The sequence below is a fragment of the Homo sapiens genome, chromosome 17, assembly GCF_000001405.40.
Source record: "Homo sapiens chromosome 17, GRCh38.p14 Primary Assembly".
NCBI classification, from domain to species: Eukaryota; Metazoa; Chordata; class Mammalia; order Primates; family Hominidae; genus Homo; species Homo sapiens.
The window spans coordinates 37,111,305-37,132,675 of NC_000017.11; the positions used below are offsets into that span (position 1 = coordinate 37,111,305).

The 21,371-nt window shown below is 40.9% G+C and overlaps 1 protein-coding gene across 25 annotated transcripts in view; it reads right to left on the minus strand.

Moving 5' to 3' along the window:
- Positions 1-21,371, minus strand: part of ACACA (acetyl-CoA carboxylase alpha) — a 321,845-nt gene that overhangs the window by 26,313 nt on the left and 274,161 nt on the right. For all 25 annotated transcript variants that reach the window (XM_011524701.2, XM_006721853.2, NM_198834.3 and 22 more), the window contains 7 exons: positions 18,771-18,914; positions 18,061-18,181; positions 14,394-14,490; positions 11,227-11,323; positions 10,051-10,186; positions 1,784-1,961; positions 227-339 (listed from right to left, as the gene is read on the minus strand). In XM_011524701.2, coding sequence (XP_011523003.1) covers positions 227-339; positions 1,784-1,961; positions 10,051-10,186; positions 11,227-11,323; positions 14,394-14,490; positions 18,061-18,181; positions 18,771-18,914 — 886 coding nt within the window. The remainder of the gene's footprint in view (positions 1-226; positions 340-1,783; positions 1,962-10,050; positions 10,187-11,226; positions 11,324-14,393; positions 14,491-18,060; positions 18,182-18,770; positions 18,915-21,371) is intronic.

Consider the following 21,371-nt stretch of genomic DNA (forward strand, 5'->3'; position numbering starts at 1 on the left):
AATATCAGGAAAAAAAATCAGGTGACTTTTGCTTTTTTAGGGCTCACTTTCCCTATTATACACACTATTTCATTCTACCAGGGTTCTTACCATATAGAGGACAGTAAATAAAGATTATCATGAATTTGATCAAATGCTTCAGTGCCTCCTCCCCTGGCCTATGAATGCACTCATTACAAATCAGCTGAATGGCTCATTGATTTGCCAGAAGGACAAGCAGACATACCCAATCGCTCAGCCAAGTGGATGTAGACTGGGTCCACCCGACGCATGGTTTTCACCAGATCCTTTCTGCGGAATTTGATTTCTACTGTCCCTTCTGGCTCCAGAACAGATCCCCTGGATCAGAAAGAAAGAAAAAACAAAACAGAAATAGAGGCACTTTAAAGGAAGGAGACAACAGAATGAGGCCAGTTACAATTTGTAGACCAGGAAATAGCTTCATTATCATTTTGCCCACCTATGGTTAACAGACATCTCCCCGGGGAGAACAGTAGGCACCAGAGAAGTGTCTAAGTGAGGTATGAGAAAGGCCTGGCAAAAAGCAATTAAAATAATTCTCATTACCACACCAGTCGACTTCCATTTCAAAGGGAGAAGAATACAGATTCCACCACCTACAGCTGATAAGAGTAACAGGAATCACATTATTTTCCAGGGGAAAAAAATGCTGTAGGCACAGTGACAGGGGAACCACCTCCATCACGTAGGATGTACAATAATGAAGGGCAATACTTCATCAATACTATCTATCTATCTATCTATCTATCTATCTATCTACCTCACCTATACCACAGCTGTCAGTCTGCTTGTAGGACACTGATCAGACACACTAAGCCAGGCCAAGTAGGAGGTAAAACATTCTGCCCAGCGCTATGGAAATGAGCAGAGTCAAAGGTCTCAGGGTTACTTTTAGTGCATACTAATGATGTTCAGTCCCCAGAAACTTTACCCCAAACATGTTTAAAAAAAAACCCACAGCTTTCTAGTTTAAAAAAATTATAGATAATGTTTACTATGTACATGGCACTGTTCTAATAACTTACATATAAATCCTTACAACAATCCTATGCCCAGTCTCCATCTACTATGTAGTAAGGTTCTGTGATTATTCCCATTTTACAGGTGAGGAAACTACAGTTTAGTAAGTTATGAGACTCGTCCAAATATAACAAGAGGCAGAACTGGATTTGAAACCAGACAGTCTGATTCCAAAGTCTATAGAGGAATTGTCTCTGATCTGATATCAGATGAGTTTAGGACTTAAAAAATAATAAACCCCTAAGTACAGAATGTAAATAATAAGCCTCTCAGCCTAGAGGTTTGACAGTGAAACTACTGGACTCTCCTAAGCAGCCTTTGACATAGAAGGCTGAATCTGGGGGGACAAGAGAGAAGCGGGCGGTCCACTAAAACGACTGGAGGTAAGAATTTCCTTGGAAAATGTCAAAGAAACACGTTTTGAAGTTTACTTAGGAAAGAGGTGAGAACAGACTATGAAAGGATGCCAGATTAGATCTGTTTTATTTAGGTAGTTTCAGGTACCACCTCCCAATAAGCCTGAGGTTCTCCCTTACAGTTTTTTTGGGTGCTACAAACACCATGGTCTTCAGCTTCCTGAAATGCTAGAGTGAGGACCTGGACTGTAATGGAAGGAAAAAGCTTTGGTTTGGAATCACAGGATGTGGGTGCTGTAGTGCCATGGCTGTAACATTCTCCAGGAGGAAACCAACAGCTACAGGGTCCCTAAAGGCAGTGAATGGAAATGTGGAAGGCACGCTACCTGCTTTCTCGGTCAGCATACATCTCCATGTGCCGGGGGTTGATGGAGGAGTCAATCACCACCCAGGAGCCACCCCGCAGCTCAGCCTGGGGAGGAATGTAAACCAGCACAGGCTGGCAGCACTCCCTCAAGCCATCCACAATGTAAGCACCAAACTTCAGCACTTGGTCGTACATATCTATGGAGAATGAGACAAATTAGAAATCAAGAAATTTCTCTTCCTCAAAGCAGTACTTTTAAACACTGTTCAGGACCTCTGGCCACGAAGAGCCTCCTTATACTATGCCTCCTGTTTGGCCACCCTATAGACTAAAGGGAGTATCGACCTGTATCCCATTCAAGACTCCAGAGGATCTTCAAAAGCACAAGACAGCAACAGAGAGATGCACTGTCTTTCACAAGATACAGTGTGTAAGTCTTCCAGATTGCCTTTCCATTTTATATCCTCTCTGAATTTCTGTACTCACGTTTCACCACATTAATTCACATTTGCTCTACAAACGTTGAGTATTTTTCATGTCAATATGTGCTCTCCCACTACAGTAAGTTTACTAAAGGAAGGAACTATTCTACCTCTTTTCAGTTATTCTCATGATGCTTAGCATAGGATGAGCTCTTCAAATGTGCACCTAATGGAAATTGATCCTTTAAAAATTTTATCTTCAAAAACTATTTTTCATCTTGGTATCCCGATATCCCTGCCCAGTGCCTGAACATAGTTAGTGCTCAACAAATATCTGCTGAATGAATGAATGCTGAATAAATTAGTTATATACTCTGGAAAGAATATAATGAGAAAGAAAGACAAATTCTTTAACAGTTGCATTTTTATAGGGTATCAATGAGAGAAAAATTTTAAAAATACTTAGGAAATACCACACAGCCACATGAGAAGAACAGACCCAACCAGGGCAGCATAGTGAGAACCTGTCTCTACAAATAATAAAAAATTAGCTGGGCATGGTGGTGCATGCCTGCAGTCCCAGTCACTTGGCTGAGGTGGGAGGATCACTTGAGCCCAAGAGGTCGAGGCTGCAGTGAGCCATGATCTTGCCACTGCACTCTAGCCTGGGTGACAGAACAAGACCCTGTCTCAAAAACAACATAAAACAAAATAAACAAAAAACAAGAGAGGAACCACCTCTTCATTCTGCTAAAGACTACACTTTGTAGACTGGGAATGGTAGCTCACACCTATAATCACAGCTCCTTGGGAGGCTGAGGTGGGAGGACCGCTTGAGCCCAGGAGTTCAAGACCAACAGAGAGAGACCCTATCTCTACAAAAACCAAAAAAATTAGCAAAACATGGTGGCACATTCCCATAGTCCCAGCAACCCAGGAGGGTGAGGTGGGAGGATCTGAGCCTAGGAGGCTGAGACCTGCAGTGAGCTGTGATCATGCTGCTGTACTCCAGTGTGGGTAACACAGCAAGGCCCTGCCTTTAAAAAAAAAAAAAAAAAAAAAAGAGTACATTTTGTAATCCCTCCAAAGCCAGGAGCAGCCTGAAGAAAAGGACCCATGATGTACACATAAAGTGAGTCCCTGGAAAACTGGATCAGTTATTTATTTCCCAACTTTTTATGGACTTCCCATTTCCCAGCTCACTGAAGTCCATTGCTAAAGCTTTAGGTTTATGAGTCCAGATGTTTAATGAGTACTTCAGTGGAGCCACAATGGATCCTTTCTAAATACCAAATAACAGGTTCAACTGAGATCAAACTTTCTTATCAAAGAGAGGATCTCAATTTGGAATAAATCAATTCTGGGAATCCAAGGCAAAGAAGCATTTTTCAGGAAGTTAAGAGCAAACCAAATAGAAATTGCTTTCATTGTAGTTACTGGCAAATTAAACTGCCACCTTCTCCAAAGTAAAAATGGCTTAATATACAAACTATCAGTGAGCACAGTTCACTGCAAGGCACATGCTCCACTGCCCCAACCTGGTGTGTCTGTGAAGACTTCAGAAATTCCAAGTTACCCCAGAAAACACCCCCTACTCTATGTGGAATGTGTATGATATGTACTCCATGTATATGATCAGAGTGAAGACATTTATTCCTTTGGGAGAAAAGCTAAGACCAAAAAAATTTACTGCTAATTACACAACTGCTGTATGAAGAGCAGGGAATAAAGGACTTTAAGTGCTTTACGCTAATTCTGTAGTTATGAAAATAATTGCTCAGTTCAAATTATTTTAACTAAATTAATTCTTTAGTGGATATTTCAACCAGTGCTACATAATAAAATAATTGTGTAATTAGCAGTACATTTTTCAGTGCTGCCAAGAGTACAGTCTCCGAACAAGTAACAGAAAAGTGTCCCTCAATGATATCATACAAAGAGAGGAAATGAAAGGTATAGATAAAAGGAGAAAATAAAGCAATAAAAGACAGCACAAAAAGTCATTCTACCTGAAAAAGAAAAAAAAAGTTAGAGGTAAGTGAAGACAAAGTTTCCAGCTCTTTTACTCACTTCTTCTTGTTAAAGACTTAGCTACAACAAAATCTATCTCTGTATTATAATTAACAGATTGACATCTCAAAAAGAAGGGGAGATTTTATTTAAAATGTATTTTCATTCATCTATTAAAAAAATACTAGATTTCATAGTATATGCAAACAGTTTCAAATGAAGATGAGTGTGTGTGTGTGATTTTTAATTTTATGAAATGGACGTGGGCTCCTTTTTGTCATCATCATGGCTAGCTTATTGTGTACCAGGGAACATGATTATATATACACACATATAAATCATTTAATCATCAGAACATTATCTTATTTATATATCCAAGTTGCAGGTGAGTAAACTGAGGCTTAAATAAGAGTGAGTGGTGGAGATAAGACTCAAATCTAGATCTTGTTGGCCCTAATGTCCACATTCTACTACTTCATTCTTTTTTTTTTTTGAGGTGGGGAGCGGGGCGCGCCAGGTTCTCACTCTGTCTCCCAAGCTGGAGTGCAGTGGCACGACCTCAGCTGACTGCAACCTCTGCCTCCTGGGTTCAGACGATCCTCCTCCATCAACACCCCAAGTAACTGAGACTACAGGTGCGTGCCACCATGCGCAGCTAATTTTTGTATTTTTTGTAGAGACGGGGTTTCACCACGTTGCCCAGACTGGTCTCGCTGAGCTCAAGCCATCCGCCCACCTCGGCCTTCCAAAATGTTGGGATTACAGGTGTAAGCCTCTGTGCCCAGCCTCTACTACTTCATTCTTACTGCTAGGAGAGACAGCATGAGACTGGGGTACTCTGCTTTCCAACATCTAATATGATGAGTAAAATAAAACCAGAAAAAGAGACTTGAATACATGACTGAATATTCCCAACTGCTGCTGGATTTCCTCTGTGTTCAGAAATGTTCAAAACTATACTGATAACACTACCAGCCTGTGTGAGGCTTGGATCTGACTGCCAAACAAGTATTTTTCGGCCCCAAGACTGTGAGTAGGAAAGGAGCATCAGGGTTTGTTAAAGCTGACATGTTTGGGACTAATATATTGCCTCCATCTAACTTGGAACACCTATAGACCCACAGCCCAACCATCAAAACACCCAAAAAGCAGGCTATTAAAATATAAACAAACACACAAATAAACTCTGTAATCGACATGCTCAGACTGAACTGCAGCTGCCCCAAACCACTTATTTTGAAAGGCAGGTTGAAACACTTGGCAACAATCTGACACACAATTGTCTGAAATCCCTTCGTATTTAAGAGACAGAGCAAAAGCACAGCCAATAGCAGCAGGGGAGGGGCGATCCCCAAGGGTTTAGGTTAGAAATCAGTCTACAGAATTTTAAAGCTATGCACGTGCTGTCAATTCTCAGGCCCTGAGAAACGCAACTGGGAATGGAAAATACTGATAGGTTCCTCACTGGAGAGGCGGGAGCTTGGAGTTTTCTAGCATGCTGGGCAAAGCACATCTGCATGAATGGTGACCACACACAACCTTTGCAGTGTGCTCTCAGCACCTAGGCACCAACCCTGCCTAGGGCTTTTATTGTTATAAACATGGATAAACCGTGGCAGCCATGTGTATCAAACAAGGGAACAGGGTGGCAGAGTGTTTCCACAGTGTCCCACACTCTTGAAAATGAAACAGATCTTATTGGCTTGGGCAAGATTATCTGTTAGAAACTGAAGGTAAACATTAGCCATACACAAGCTACATATACATAATGTCTCTCCTTAGTTCATTATGATCGGCTGACACTGTATTTCAACATCCTAGTAATCAGAGACTTTAAAATAGACTTTCATTCCAGTTAAAGTTTTCAATAAATTTTTTTTATTGTTATTTATAACCTGTCCCAGGAAAAAATAATAAGTATAACATGAAAAGCCAACTGAGAGTGACCCTGTAGCACCAGCAGTGAGGCAGCTTAATATCACTGGGATTTGCATCCTATCAAGCTATTCATGCTGAGGCTGGGACCCTGGTGCTAATTTCTAGTAAATTTCACGCTTGATGTCTCCCTGTTGTGGGTCATTGCCGGTTCGTCTAAATAAACTGCTTCCAAATGGCTCTTCCATCTAAATATTCAGCCAGTTTTTATAATTTAATTTTGCATTATGCTGAATAGCCTTCCGGCCAGATAGAGCTCATTGAAAAAAAGCACCAATACCATCTTGACATGCTTTTATTTATTTATTTATATCTTTACTGCTCGAATTAGACCTCCTAGGCCGACTAGTAGAGTTTTTTTTTTTTCCCTTCACTAATGTCAATTTTCAGCATAGCAAGAGCTGTCTCTAATCTTTTCCTACTCATTACACACAATTTTGGAGTCATTTTACCCACAGTGCAGTCGGCTCCTGGCTGTGTGTTTGTGTGCACTGAGGGATGGCATAATTGTTTATTTTCCCTCCCTGCATAATCCCCAGCCAGTATTGAAACCAAAACTGCAAACATCTCCCCAAGGGATGTGAAGAATGACAAGAGGCCCTCAGTTTAGGTCCCTTTACATGAGATAATACAACACCCTGACCTGTATGTAAATATGAAAGGCACTGTTCCTCCCCCTCCTACCTTCACAGGGATCTCTATCTTCCCTAAGTCTTATTTGTCTTACGTGAGGTGTAAAAGGATGCATCAGCACCAAAATTAAGACAGAACTTGCCCTGGTCTATATATCAGGCCAAAAACTCATTTCAGACCAAGGGCAGCAGGGAGAAAGGAATGGGTACTTATTGTTTAAGGGGTATAGAGTTTATGTTGAGGATGATGAAGTTTTGGGTGTAGATACCAGTGATAGTTACACAACACTGTGAATGTATTTAGTGCCACTGAATTGTACACTTACAAATAATTAAAGTGATAAATATTATGTATATTTTACCACAATAAAAAATGAACTCATTTCTGAGCTCTTGAAATTTCTTTTCACAATAACCAAGGACATCCCCAAAGTAGAGGGGAAGTAGGTGGATAATAACTTTTTCAGGAACCTTGACATTCTGTTATAGGGATATTCTAGTAGATCTAGTTCTGGTTTTAGGCTCTAACTGTGTTACAGGGAGCTACATCACATCAGCCAACTGTGTTACAGGAAGTCAGACAGATCCACCTTCCTTTCCCAACTCTGCCATTTTGTAGCTGAATGAGCTTGGGAAATTTACTTAACCTAATTTACATAAATCTTAATTTATGTAAAATGTTCATAACAATATAACCTACCCCTTAGAGGTGCTTGTTGTGATGATTATGTAAGATAATACATGTAAAATTGTTAGCACAAGTTTCTGGTGAAAAGAGCTCAATGAATCTTAATTGTTGTTGTTCTTACTGTTACAGCGCGGCAGCCAATCTGGGCCTGAGCCAAAATATGTAGCAGAATTGAAGCTTTTCCTAGAAGTGGCACATTGGAAACTTTTGAACTCTGAACTCCCGTTAGGATAAAATATCCAGGGTGACACTCTGAAGTAATGTCAGGAAGAGTACATTCTCAGTGGGCCCCCCACAAAGAGATAAGTAAGGAGTAATAGCATAGCATTCTCTCCCAGGTCTCAACAAAAATATTAGAGCCAAGGAATTTGGGATCAAGTGAAATCTAATGCTGAATGAACCTCATATATATGAATGAGGGGTTTTCAGGCCCCCCTTCCCTTTGATATACTACTACCATCTTCTTTTGAATATCCTGGTATTTTGTTTATACATTATGGCTTTATCATTTTGCTCAAGACATTTTTCTTGTCTCTGTGAAGCAATGTATTGTTTCTGACTTATTTTGACTTATTTTTGTTCTCTGAAGTGGCTAGCATAGTTCCTAACACACAGAACTCAATAAAAATGTGTAGGATTGACTTAACCGTATACTCTCAATTTCTCATGGTATTTCCACTAATTTATTATCTCGGTCAAAAAATAATTCACCTTGATAATCTAAAAAATATATACAATCATTAATTTGGATATATAGTCCAAGTCTCCCCCAAGAAAAGTATAAAATGTGGTAGTTCTCCAGCAAATACAGGCAAAGGTAAACTTTTCAACCAAACACACACACACACACACACACACACACACACACACACACACACACACACACAATCAACCTAGTCAACATTTTGCCAAGGAGGCCTGGCCATACAGGGCTCTTCCTAGACGAGTAAGGAAAAATTGTCGGCAAAAATTTCAAATCCCTCTTGCCACATAACTGACCATCTGGTAGTTTCCCCAGGCATTTCCTCCCTCATAGGCTGGGGGTGCTTCTGCCCTAAGCTATTTTTAAGTGCCCTATTGAGAGTTCATTGTTTCACATTTTGTATGTCTTAAGTATTTTCTTTTCTTTTTCTTTCTTTCTTTTTTTTTTTTTTTGAGATGGAGTCTTGCTCTGTCGCCCAGGCTGGAGTGCAGTGGTGCAATCTCGGCTCACTGCAACCTCTGCCTCCTGGGTTCAAGTGATTCTCCTGCCTCAGCCTCCCAAGTAGCTAGGGATTATAGGCATGCACCACCCCATCTGGCTAATTTTGTATTTTTTGTAGAGACAGGGTTTCACTATGTTGGACAGGCTGGTCTCAAACTCCTGACCTCAGGTGATCCACCCACCTCGGCCTCCCAAAGTGCTGGGATTACAGGCGTGAGCCACCGCGCCTGGCCATCCTAAGCATTTTCTAATCACTATTTACTCCAAAAGTTTCTACTCCTCCCTCCTTCCCCTAACCTATCCTACTGTTTTTTCCTTTTTTTTGAGACAGAGTCTTACCCTTTTGCCCAGGCTAAAGTGCAGTGGCACAATCTTGGCTCACTGCAATCTCTGCCTCCCAGGTTCAAGTGATTCTCCTGCCTCAGCCTCCCGGGTAGCTGGGACTACAAGCGCCCACCACCACGCCAGCTAAGTTTTGTATTTTAGCAGAGACAAGGTTTCACCATGTTGACCAGGATGGTCTCAAACTCCTGGACCTCAAGTGATCCACCTGCCTCAGCCTCCCAAAGTGCTGGGATTACAGGCGTGAGCCACCCCGCCTGGCCCTATCCTATTGCTTTAGAACCCCAAATTCTCCCCAAGACAGATGGAATTTATACTTAGCATACTCTCATACCCTCCAGGTATGCAGTCTCTGGCTTAGCATGGCCATGAATTATCTGGCCATGGGACAGAGGGCTTCACTACTGTAAGAGGTAGTGTTTCCTTTGGCTCTCCCTGTAGTGTCCACAGTCGCTCTACACATCAAGGTTTCTCCGTAAATGGTGATACTGGCTGCCTAATTACTTAGCAATTCCCATAGCATGGAGTAGAGCCTTTGTAATAATGGTCTAATATGCTGGAGCCACAGGCCCAGGGCTGTTGTTAGATAATAATATAACATAGCACAAATTGCCACTGGTACTGAACAGCCTCTGGTACTGAATTTGTTCATTTTCTTCCAGTAAATGCTAATTTCAGTATCTGTCTTGGTCACTGTAGAACATTAGGAGTAACACCAACAAAGTATATGCCCAGAAAAGAGGGACAGAGTCACAATCATATTTCCCCAGCACCATCAGAATGGTCCAGCATCCATCTGTGAGAGCGAGATCCACAACAGTAGGTCACCTCAATAACACTAGTAGTAGATTATTCTGAAATTCTGTATGGAATTATAAAATGTACTTTTTTCCATTCAAGTTGCAACTCAAAAGATGTCTCAGAGAGGGCAGAATCCCCAAAAAGCCTAGGCTATTAGGACACCCACAGATTCTGCTGAATCTATACCCTCCCTCTGCCGCAGAGTGCCCAGTAATCAGTGATGCCCCTCCAGCCCACAGGCAGCCCAGTCACCTTTCATTCCACCAGAGAAGCCTCTCCAGTTGGCAAAGACCATCAGAGGCAGCCCTTCCCGGTTGAAGTCCTTGATGGCCTGATACGTCTTAAACGCAGAATCTGGGAACCAAACCTGGCCAGCCTGCTGGATTATCTATTAGGAAAAGTCAAAGAAGACACAATTAACAACACAGCTCCAGGGGGAAATCTCTCCAAGGTGAACAAGATTTTACTTATTTAAAACTGAAAACTAAAAATCAGATCAACAAAAACTATTGTTCATCAAGATCATCATGTTTGGAGTAAAAAAGAAGAAAGGATCCTCGATCTTTGACCTTGTCAAATACTATTCTTTTTAAGTCCTGATTATAATAACTCTGTAGTCAAAAGGGAAGAATGCAGTCCTAAGAACCCTTGTTCTAGGTTTCTCAAAAGCTACTTAAAATGGCTCCATTGTGCTACTCTTTAAAGCAAGTCAATTGTACATAGTCTCCCAGTCCTTTCACCTTTGTGCTTAGTATAGCATTTTCCTGTACTGTGGCTAACAAATAGACAATTGACGTCACACTGCTGAATAGCCTCCTCCCTGGCCTCCCTGACCCCTCACTTTCTGAATGGTGTCAGGATGTGAAAATATAATCCATCCTTTAAAAAAATAATGGCACCAGGCACAGTGGCTCATCCCAACACTTTGGGAGGCTGAGGCGGGAGGATCCCTTGAGCCCAGGAGGTCAAGGCTGCAGTGAGTCAAAATCACACCACTGCACTCCAGCCTGGGCCATGAACCATGTCTCAAAAAAAAGGGCTGTGGTGTTCACGCTTGGCATTAGGGCAGACTTCACCGTTAACTCTAGCTGTAGCTCTTCCATGTGTATACTCAGAGAATAGGGGACCAAAGAGCCTTCAGTATTATCTCAGCTACCTTTCTGTAAGACCATCTCCCCAACAAAAGTATACGTTTTCTAGCATCAAGAAGACTACTGTAAAGACTTATTTAATTTTTGAGGCAGAATTTAGCTTCTAGTCCGTTTAGACTCACCTTAAAAGTGAGCACATGATGTTCTAAAATCATTCAAGGCTGCTGATGCCCTTCCCTCTAAAACTGATGGTTTGCAATGTTCCTGATGTATTCACAGGCACTGCGAAGAGAAAAACCCTCCAAGCACAGCCCCCAGTGTACTTGAGGTGGCCTACCTTGGCTTCAGAATCCAGGTTTGCTGGATCAGCTGGGATACTTAGTTCTACTGTTCGGGTTTCTACAGCAACAACTCCCACAGGTATTCCTCCTAGCCTGATAAAACATGAGTCACATAAGAACCCAATGTATGTCAACATTATAGCTAGCCATTTGTTTTCCAATCCCAAATCAAGACATTGGGGAAAAAACTAGAAACAAACACAGAGAGCAGGGGAAATCTGATTCTTCTATGAGTTAAATGTGAGACTCTACGGATTTGATATTTACTCTCTAAATATGGTGGGAAACCACCCTCAGAATCACTTCTATTCGGAAATGTCCCAACACAAGATAAATTCAAACCAAGGGCTGTTCTAGGGGAGCCTCTACATTTAGACTCAACAGCCTAGCACATATACACATCCCTACCCCTGTGGCTGCTAAACGAAATTTCTCAGTTCACTCTAGAGCATCTCCTTGGTGAAGATGGTAGGAAATGGTCTGAAAGGCAGTAGGAATCTGAGACTTTCAGTAACTTTTAATGAGGACTGACCTTGCTGAAATGGAGCTGTAGTTTTCTATGGAATATTAATAATGTGGTTCCAGATAAGATTTGAGGGTACAATAGGTCTTACTATTAGGTGTGTGGATAGGGAGTATGTAGGCATGTTATGAGGATGATGAGAAACACATGCCAAGAATAGGGAAGTGGATCAACAAGCCCTTAATTTTCTCCTTCCTTGGAAAAGACAAATGGGACAAGGATAATTTTTAGTAGTAATGCTGGTGAAGTCTATATTAGAATTATATATTTAATCTCAAAGCTATGTTTATTTAAAAAACTGTTTAGGAGCTCAAAGCCTCTGCACCTTATACTCCACTATGACTTCCCAATTTGGTCCTCATAAAGATTTTCTAGGAAAAATCAGAGAGCAAGACAAAGTACAGGGTGAGTCTTTACTCTGGAAAATGTGATGCAGTCTTCATTCTCACTGTTGCATTCCTTGGGGTTGGGGCTGGGATGGGTTATAGTCTCTCATTTCTCACAGCATCTCCATAACAAACTTTTCCATGACAGATGGCCTTTGGTTGTTAAATTGGCTAGTGAAAATGGATTCCTGTCATCACAAGAGGGCTGACAAGGGCCTGAGTGGAGACCACCCACCCCCTTGTCACTTGCCTGCACTGAATCAGAATCAAAAGCCCTCTAGACAACCAGACAACGAGCAGGAGATACACAGGAGGGTTTAGAAATATTTCTGTTCACAATGATTAACAATCCAACTGGAAACTTGTAATTGCAAAAGCCACCCTAAATCGGTAACTTATAACTTATATATTAGGGCCCATGTGACCTAATAAAGAACATCTTTATCCAAGTATTACAGTTATTTATTGAACTTGAAAACAGCTCAGAACAACTTCTGTTTTCTATTATACTTCATATAAATTTTATCAGGCTAGCACATGAAGATGCTACATCTTGTTTTATAGTGTGTCCCTGGACAAGGTGCCATGGAATAATAAAAGACAATTTACAGCCAATAGCACACATATTCCAAACATACATACCAAAGATGAGTTTTGGCAGCACTTACAGTAACAATCCCAGACGAATACATTTATATTTATTTCTTGAAATGCCATTGCTTTTGAAAGAAGCTAGAGCTCCATTTGTGTTTTATATACTTGTGAGTATGTGTATACGTTTGGAGTAAGAAGCCCAGAACTCGTCAGATAGAAAGAAAGGAGGAAGTCAGAGTGAGTGTTGCAATAAACAATGACAGAGCTAACCAAAGCCAAGCTTGACTGATCTTGGTCGCAAAGCAATCCCTATTCTTCTAATCATAAGTGTAAAGTATTTTTCTCTTATTTCCCATGGGAGGATCTTAAAGAACTTAACAAAGGTTTGGCTTTCTGAGACTTAAAATCTGTCATGTTTTTTCACAGACAGGAAAATTGAAGCAGAATAGATGAGACAAATCTCAAAAAAGTTGGTCTTAGTGTGCCGTGAGGAATCTAACAAGCTGATACAGGAGTCGAGTATCAGGGTTCTCGCTCCAGTGTATCTCCTACTTCCAAGCTCCCCACTGGGAATTTTACCAGGCACAGAGAATACTTCTCACTGGGACTGAGAAGCCTGGGGTGAGATAAAAGACCTGAGACTTTAAAGAAAACAGACAGGTAGGCTCTGGGACATTCAGTCTGAGCTGACTCCAGGCCAGAATCCTATTCAGAGTCACAGAGGAAGACCCTGTCTGTGGGATTTGCCCTCTGATGGCTTCTTGTCACAGGCAGCATGGAGGCGTGCTGACCTGCTGTACTGAGAGAACCACAGAGCCTAGAATTATTTTCAAGGCTAGAATCTAAATCTCAACCCAATGTGGCATGTTTGAGAATCTTGAGCAGGTGCCACTTTTCACCAAGATAAGGAAAACTGATTGCCCCCAGAGGAAGGTGAGCTCCAGATGCGGTCCCTCAGCAGCATGTCTCTGCAGTGCAGAAGTAGATTAAGATCAGTCGTGGCAGGTGCTCGTTATAGCTCGTTATAGCAAGCACTACAGATTATTTTGCACAGAGCTTGCTGTTGAGTGAAGCACTTCTTAGAGTAGGTATTAAAATTTAATAGAAACTTCAATTTCCCACTTCAAAAATATAGGTATCTTGGCAACCTATTTCAGCTTATTTTACTCCTGTTTCAGGTAAACTTTTTTTTTTTGGCAATTCACATCTGATTATAATCCAATATAGTACATTTGTCACTTAAATAATCTCGGTGCCACGAAGAACCTCTTTCCAGTTACATAGAAAAGCAGATGAGTCTCTGAATCACTTGTCACCTATTCCTGAAAGAAAATTGTCTTTGGGAGAGGGAAAGTCATTGGTGGGCTCTGGCTATTGTAGTTGGGCTTTACAGCTCCCAAAGTGTTTTTCCTGAAACATTATAAAAAGGAAGTGTTGTCAAAATTAGCCTTCAGATTAAACGCATCATTGGAGTGACACACAAAATGGCAACTGAGAACCAGCACTCCAATTATTTTGCCTTGGGCATGGCTATAATCCAATATTCTCAGACAGTTCAGACAAAGAGAACATTATTGGTATATATCTATAGAGCCATGGCTCTTTCTTTCTTATTTTTAGTTGGGAGGAAAAAGAGCTGCCAAAACAAAAGAGCTCTTACCTGGCTCTACCAACCACCACAGTCTGTGCCCAGGGCTGCATAATCTCTGAGAAAGATCCATAGTCAAAAAAGCCACTCAACCACTGACCTTTTTGGGCTACAGAAGGGAAAGAAAGAAAACAGAGAATAAGGACAGTGAATCCATTGACAATGTGCTGGAACTGACGAATTTAAGGTGGTTTGGGGGATTATTTTGGGGAGTTTGTTGTTTTTAACCAAATTATAATAGATGGAAGCATTAGGCAGCTGAATGTTCATCTGCCTTCAGACATCATCTCCTATTTCATTTGCTAGTCTGCATAAAAAGAATCATTTATCAGCAAAAGCATCATTTATTGTTAAATGACAAGGTTTAGCTAGCAGAGAGAGTTTGCATGCTTTTAAATAAATAACTTGACTTTCTTCAAGACACTACAAACATTTGTCAAAAGGCTGCCAAGTCATTAAAGATATTTTCAAAATGTCTATTTCTATTTTAAAACTTGCCTTACAATTTTGTTTGATTCCACTGACTTTCTTTTAACTGAAGGCTAAAAACAACCAAACAATAAGTATTAATGATCAGATAAGGATCCAAATTTGGAGGGAAAAATAGGAACTCAGTTTCTCCGCTACAAAAGCAACAAGATATATCTACTTTATTAAACAGCTGATAAAGTATAACCTTTCTACAAAAAAGGGCCACATATTCTTGACAGATAGTAAAAATACAATGGTTAAGATGCACATACTTAATGCCATTAATCTTCCTTGCACATAGAATTTCCTTCACTGGCAAGACCCAAAATTTTCAACATGTTAGTTTAAAAAAAAAACTTTTGTTCCACAGGTATAAATGTTTGACCAAAGCCCCATAAAAGCTTCTGCAAATAACCGTTTCCTAGTTTGCCCTCTCAGCTCACGGTTTTCAGTGATTCTTCTAATTTGAACATGGCCCTCCACCCCCTAAAAACCCAAGTCCAAAACCAATTAAAAGTGGAGATCTGAGCAAGCTAACCTCTGCTGACTTAAACAGGATGGAGAGTGTTTTATCTAGACTAAACTTGTAATTACTGTGTTCTACATTCCTTGCCTCTATGGCCCCAGTGTAAAATGTGATCATCCATTTCAAAATTATCTCTCCATCCGTGAGCCCAAAGCCGATCGTTTAGATTCTGGTCTTGTGTTGGGCGTCAGTTTGAAGAATATCACAGCACTATCTCCTCTAATAAATGACTTTAACTTTTCACCTAGAAGATATCTGCTTTAACTTATCACAGGGAATCATCTGCTTTCTTTAACGCTTCCACTAAATTAAAATCTGAAGTCACTCGATTTGGGAGCGAGTGTTAGCTGCACATAGACAGCAGGATGAATTACTAGGGAGTCAATGAAAAAATATTATCCAAAAAACAGAAAACTTAGTTTATCAAAAATTTCATTTTATTCTGTGGATTTCATTAATAATGGCCAGGATAATGCCCACCTACACACACATACTTCTGTTCACCCATGAAAGAAGGACTCAAATTTTGGTGAAGTTTCTAAACCAAATTTCTAGGTTCATCAGAACACTGAATTTTAACTTTATATCTTTGGATCATTTTCTAATTCTTACTTCAATAACAGGGATTTGGAACTACAGAATTAACTTCAAGATGGAAATGTTTTCTTCTTTAAAAACTCTCCTGCTAGGGGTAGGAGGAGTCACTGACTATTGTAGTTGTGCTTCACAGTCCCCAGAGAGTAGATCCTACCCAGTTCCGATGCAGAACCTTAGAAGCCGGCTAAGATGGCTTCCCGTATTTCCCAGGAAAAAACTCACTAAGTCTTGTTCCAAATTCTAGAAGTAAAGAGGCTCACTTCATTCCCAGAAAAGTCCTGCATTTTAAGACTGACAGGTGGCCGGGCGCGGTGGCTCACGCCTATAATCCCAGCACTTTGAGATCACAAGGTCAAGAGATAAAGACCATCCTGGCCAACATGGTGAAACCCCGTCTCTACTAAAATTACAAAAATTAGCTGGGTGTGGTGGCATGCACCTTTAGTCCCAGCTGCTTAGGAGGCTGAAGCAGGAGAACCACTTGAACCTGGGAGGCGGAGGTTGCAGTGAGCCGAGATCGCGCCACTGCACTCCAGCCTGGCGACAGAGTGAGACTCCGCCTCAAAAAAAAAAAAAAGAAAAAGAAAAAAAAAAAGACTGACAGGTAATCTTAGGCTCATAGTTCTTATCATAATCATGGCACAAAAAAAAGGGGAAAGAAGGGGTAAGTGGAGGCGGAGGTTGCAGTGAGCCGAGATCATGCCATTGTACTCCAGCCTGGAGGACAAGAGTGAAACTCCATCTCAAAAAAAAAAAAAAAAAAAAAAAAAAAAAACAGTAGGAAGAAGATTAGTATGGTGACTTTCCAGGCATGTAAAGAAAAACTATTTCGTTTTATTAAAATTAACAAGAAGAGGCACTGAAGACAACAGGTAAAGTTATAAATTAAAATAAACACTTCTCTCATGTTTTTATATAATAGAAAGTCTAATGTAGATATTGTAGAAAAACAATGTAATAGCTATATAATAGCTATGTGACCTTGTACGAATCACTCAACTTCTCTGATTTTTGTAAAATAGTTATCTCTCTTTATCTAAGAGAGGTCGTAAGTGCAAAAAAGATGTGGAAGTGCTTTACAGTCCCACCTGGCTTACAGTGGGTACCCACAAAAGTTTATTAGGTCTTCCTTATGAAGACCTCTCTTTCAGCAAGATCACAATGACTTTTACACTTAATAAAATACCTTCTGCAATCTCTTCTACTTTTATATATAGCCTTTCTTTGAAATAGTTGCAATAAATATGCAAAAAAGAACAAATGCTTCCTCACATAGTTTGAAAAAATGGATTCAAAATACAGCAGAGGGATTTGGTGCTCCACAAAAGAACCTCCTGATAAGTAAGGTTTGCTAGAACAGCCAAATGGACTGACAAATGAGAATGTACACAGAGTTACTTCTTTTTCCTGTTTTGTTTCTAAGTTAGGTAAAAGACAAAGCAGTAGATTAGATATATCTGGAGGGAGAGCTTATTCTCACTCCATGTATCTATATAATTAAAAGTTCTGGACAATCTCTTCATGAATAAATGAACTTACAAAGTAGCCTTCTATTACTTACTAAAGCAAGTACCAATACCATTACCAATATCATAAGAAGGGCACATGCAGCGTGGGTGCTCAGAGCTTGCTGAGAAGAGTGAAGTCATATTCTACACTGAAGGGTCTCAAAGACGTGTGCTAAAACGAAACTGATTAATCTCTTTTGGTTGTAGGGATTAGATGACTGAAGATTCTAGTCCTATAATTTTATGATTTTATGGCTTATATTGAACTGTGTTAAAGTCTTTGAACCCATTAAGTAATAAGTGCTTTAATAACAGAATAAACAGAAGAAATGTATTCGTGACTGCACTGCTTGACTTAATGGGTGATTGGGAAATGTCATTTTATTTATTTTTCATTTTTTCATGAAGGATTTCCCACCTTTTTCTTCAGAGGGCTGGTTTTCAGGTCTTTCTCATTTCTAGGTACTTACCTCTGTTTTCTTAGTCACATGTGATTGTTCAGGAATTGGATAGTGATTGAAAAGAACGCTAAAAGCTTAAGAGCCAGGTACCATGGGGTCCTCAAACATATACATACTTGGGTGAGGACGGCCTGCTAGCATCCATCGAGGATCGTATGGGGTCTTTGTGGGAACAAACTCGATGATTCTGTCTATAGGATCCTTTGAGTTCAGAAGAGGAACTGAACTGTGCACGCTCTAAAAGGAGATTGGAAGAGAGCACAGCAATCAGTGAACGACAGCCCTAGACTCCAACTCAGCAACAATAGTTATAGACAAAGACAGCAGGGCCCACGTATGGAATTGCACCCAATAGTCCCAATCTTCAGCTGGAAGAATCCTACGTATGTGCCAGGCCCCAAGGAACATGTATAGGTCAATAGTCTCATTTAGGAGGCTGGCACAAAGTGGTGTGTTTTGACTCTTGATTTCAGTGTGCCCATGCTTTCTGGGATGCTCCTCTGAGGAATGAATGGCTATTACAGAGGAGAAAACCCACAATGAGGAGGAACCTTAATATACTGGGATCTGAGCCTTAGGTAGGCCATGAGGGCTTCCGTGGCTGGAAGACATTAGAAAGGGGCCCAACAAATGAAATCCAGAGACATCTTAAAGGTAGAAGGCAAAATATGGCTGTAAGGAAAAGAGAAATCAATAGCTTTCAGAGAAATATTTTATAAAAAAATTCCTCCACCATAAAGACAAGACCTTAAACACAGAGGCAGTGAGCTGTGGTGGAAATGACAGGCTCTGCAGGCCATGTCAGTGCTGGGTAGGAAGGGCTCACCTTGGGCATGTAAGACAGCCAGTGCAGGACAGTGAAAACCCCTTCAAAGTCATCACACACAGTGCAGTGGGTCACCCCATTGTTGTGCATAATCTGGATGCCCCCCAGCTGGTTATTGGAGGTGTACACTTCCCGCCCGAGGACCTAGAGAAAAGAGCAAGAGAAAAGACATTTGTCTCTATAGAAATAAAGGCATGGTCGATTTCACAAGTCGCACTAAAATGGGTTCTTTTCTCCACAAAACAGAGATTTCAGTCTCCATGGGTTGGTTGTTCTGAGGGACTATCTGAATCTTCTTCCTAAAAAGAAAACTTAGAAAACAAAAAATATGAGATTGACGCGCTGCCAGCTGCGCTAAGAGGGCTTACTATAGCATTAGGAGATATACCTAATGCTAAATGACGAGTTAATGGGTGCAGCACACCAACGCGGCACATGTATACATATGTAACAAACCTGCACGTTGTGCACATGTACCCTAAAACTTGAAGTATAATAAAAATAAAATAAAAAATTAAAAAAAAAACAAAAAATACTTTTAACAATCACATTCATGGTTGCAATTTTAAAACCAGCAAGCCCCTTTCTCTCCACCAGCTGCCACAGATAGGCAAAGCATACTTCCACCCTCAGCTGAAACTGCAGTGGTGGGTGAGGCTGAGACCCAGAGGCATAGGCTACCTCATTGTGTGCAAGTCTCTTTGCACACAGACACAAAAAGGTAACATGCCTGTCTTTCAACAATATTTAGTGACAAGTCTCAGTTAAAGAAACTCTGGGGGCTTAGGTTCCTCATTTTTAAAAAGGATTATTTTTTTCCTTATATTTGATTTTTATTAGATTGGTGCAAAAGTAATTGTGGTTTTTGTCATTTAATGGCAAAACCACAATTACTTTTGCACCAGCCTAACACTGGCCTCCACGCACAAGCCCTAAAGCTAGCAAAAACCTGAAGCAACTCATGATACATACATGAACCCCTGAGTCTCAAGTCTTCTTTGTGTGCTGGGTGCAGGGCTGTGATTTATACCCAAGCATGCTTCCCCTCCTCCTTCCCTTCCCAGGCTCCAGGGAGTTCAGGGCCTCAATCCCTGGTATATCCCTGGAGGAATTTAATCCTTGTAAGGTCAAAGGGCACCTGCAATTGGAAACCACAAAGTTTCCTTTAAAGAAGAAAAAAAGAGGAAGAAAAGATATTCCTGGACTTGGAAATTGCAGGGTTTCTTTTTCCCTTGAAGACTGGTTAATAATTTCTTTCAGGGAAGGAGGTTTTCTGACCCAGCAGATGGAAGCCGGGCAGCCTGATCACTGACTATTGCAAACTGCTGAGTGTATAGTAATTGTCAGTCATCTAAGGTAGCCCCGGAGAGCTCTAAACAGTTGTAGAGCGCTTACTGTATTTTACCTTTTCTTTTTCCTTTCCTCTCCTCCTTTAAAAAATAACGACAATACAAAATTTCTTCCGTACGTGTATTCATTTTCAGTCTCTGGGGAGAATCTAACTAACTAAGGGCCAGCAAAGTCTGCCTGTATATTCCCATTTTGCCCCTTCTTGTTAGGAGCTTTGAGAGGTTCCCCTGCATGCTGGGTCAGCACCCCCATCGGGACCTTCCAAAGATGGAGGAAGTTGGTGACCAAAGTAATAACCTCAGTGTGACCCAATTGGCCTTGATTCCATTTAACTTCAGCTAGGAAGGGCATAAGATACTTTTCTGAAAGGAATATGGAAAGCAAAATTGCTCTCAGATTACTGTTTTCCTTGATAAGGAAGCGCAGAGAACAAGCCTTTACAGGCAGCCCCAAGCTGAGCAACATGCTGGCAGCTCCTTTGAAGGAGCCTCGTGAAGAGGGAAGACGGTATCTGACCACTGAGCTCCCATCCGCCTCTCAGTCCGTCTTTAATCTCAGCCCAGGCACTGCGGCTCTTTTCTCATTCTCCTGCTGTCTCTTTCCATTTGCCCTCTCTCTGACTGATACACTGATCTCTCGGTCACTCAGCTTTCTGCTCTGCTGAGTCCATATTACTAATAACACCTCCGCCACGGCCAGTTTACCTCATGAAGGCAGGAGCACATCATTACAAAATAAACTCATAACTTTGACATTCTAGCAAATACACGCCGTTTGTTATTTTTATGGCTTTAGTCTTTCTAACAGGCAGAGGGCATTACATACCTGTTTCATTTATATCTTTAAATGTGCACACACATGCACACTCACACATGCATCAGGAAACAAAACAGAACAAAAAATCCAAACCAAAGCAAATATCCAAAGCAGTCTGTTGATGCGGGAGCCTGGTAGAGGCAGAAACCCTGTCACTTACAGAGGCCACGCTCTGATCTGGCTCTGGTTTTATGGTCGTCATAAACCCGATGGCCCACAACTGGTCCTTCTGGGACAGACTGCCTCTCTGTTAGAAGGCATTCAGTGTGATCAGCAGTATTTTTAATTATTAAAATAAAATTGGAAAGGGGGAAAAGGAATACAAAAGGAGACACTGTGCTGACCCTGAAAATCTGATATTCACAATCTAGGTCAGGAGCCAAGTACTCCTTGTTGCCCAGAAGAGAGAGCTGGGCCATTTTCTACTCAGAAACA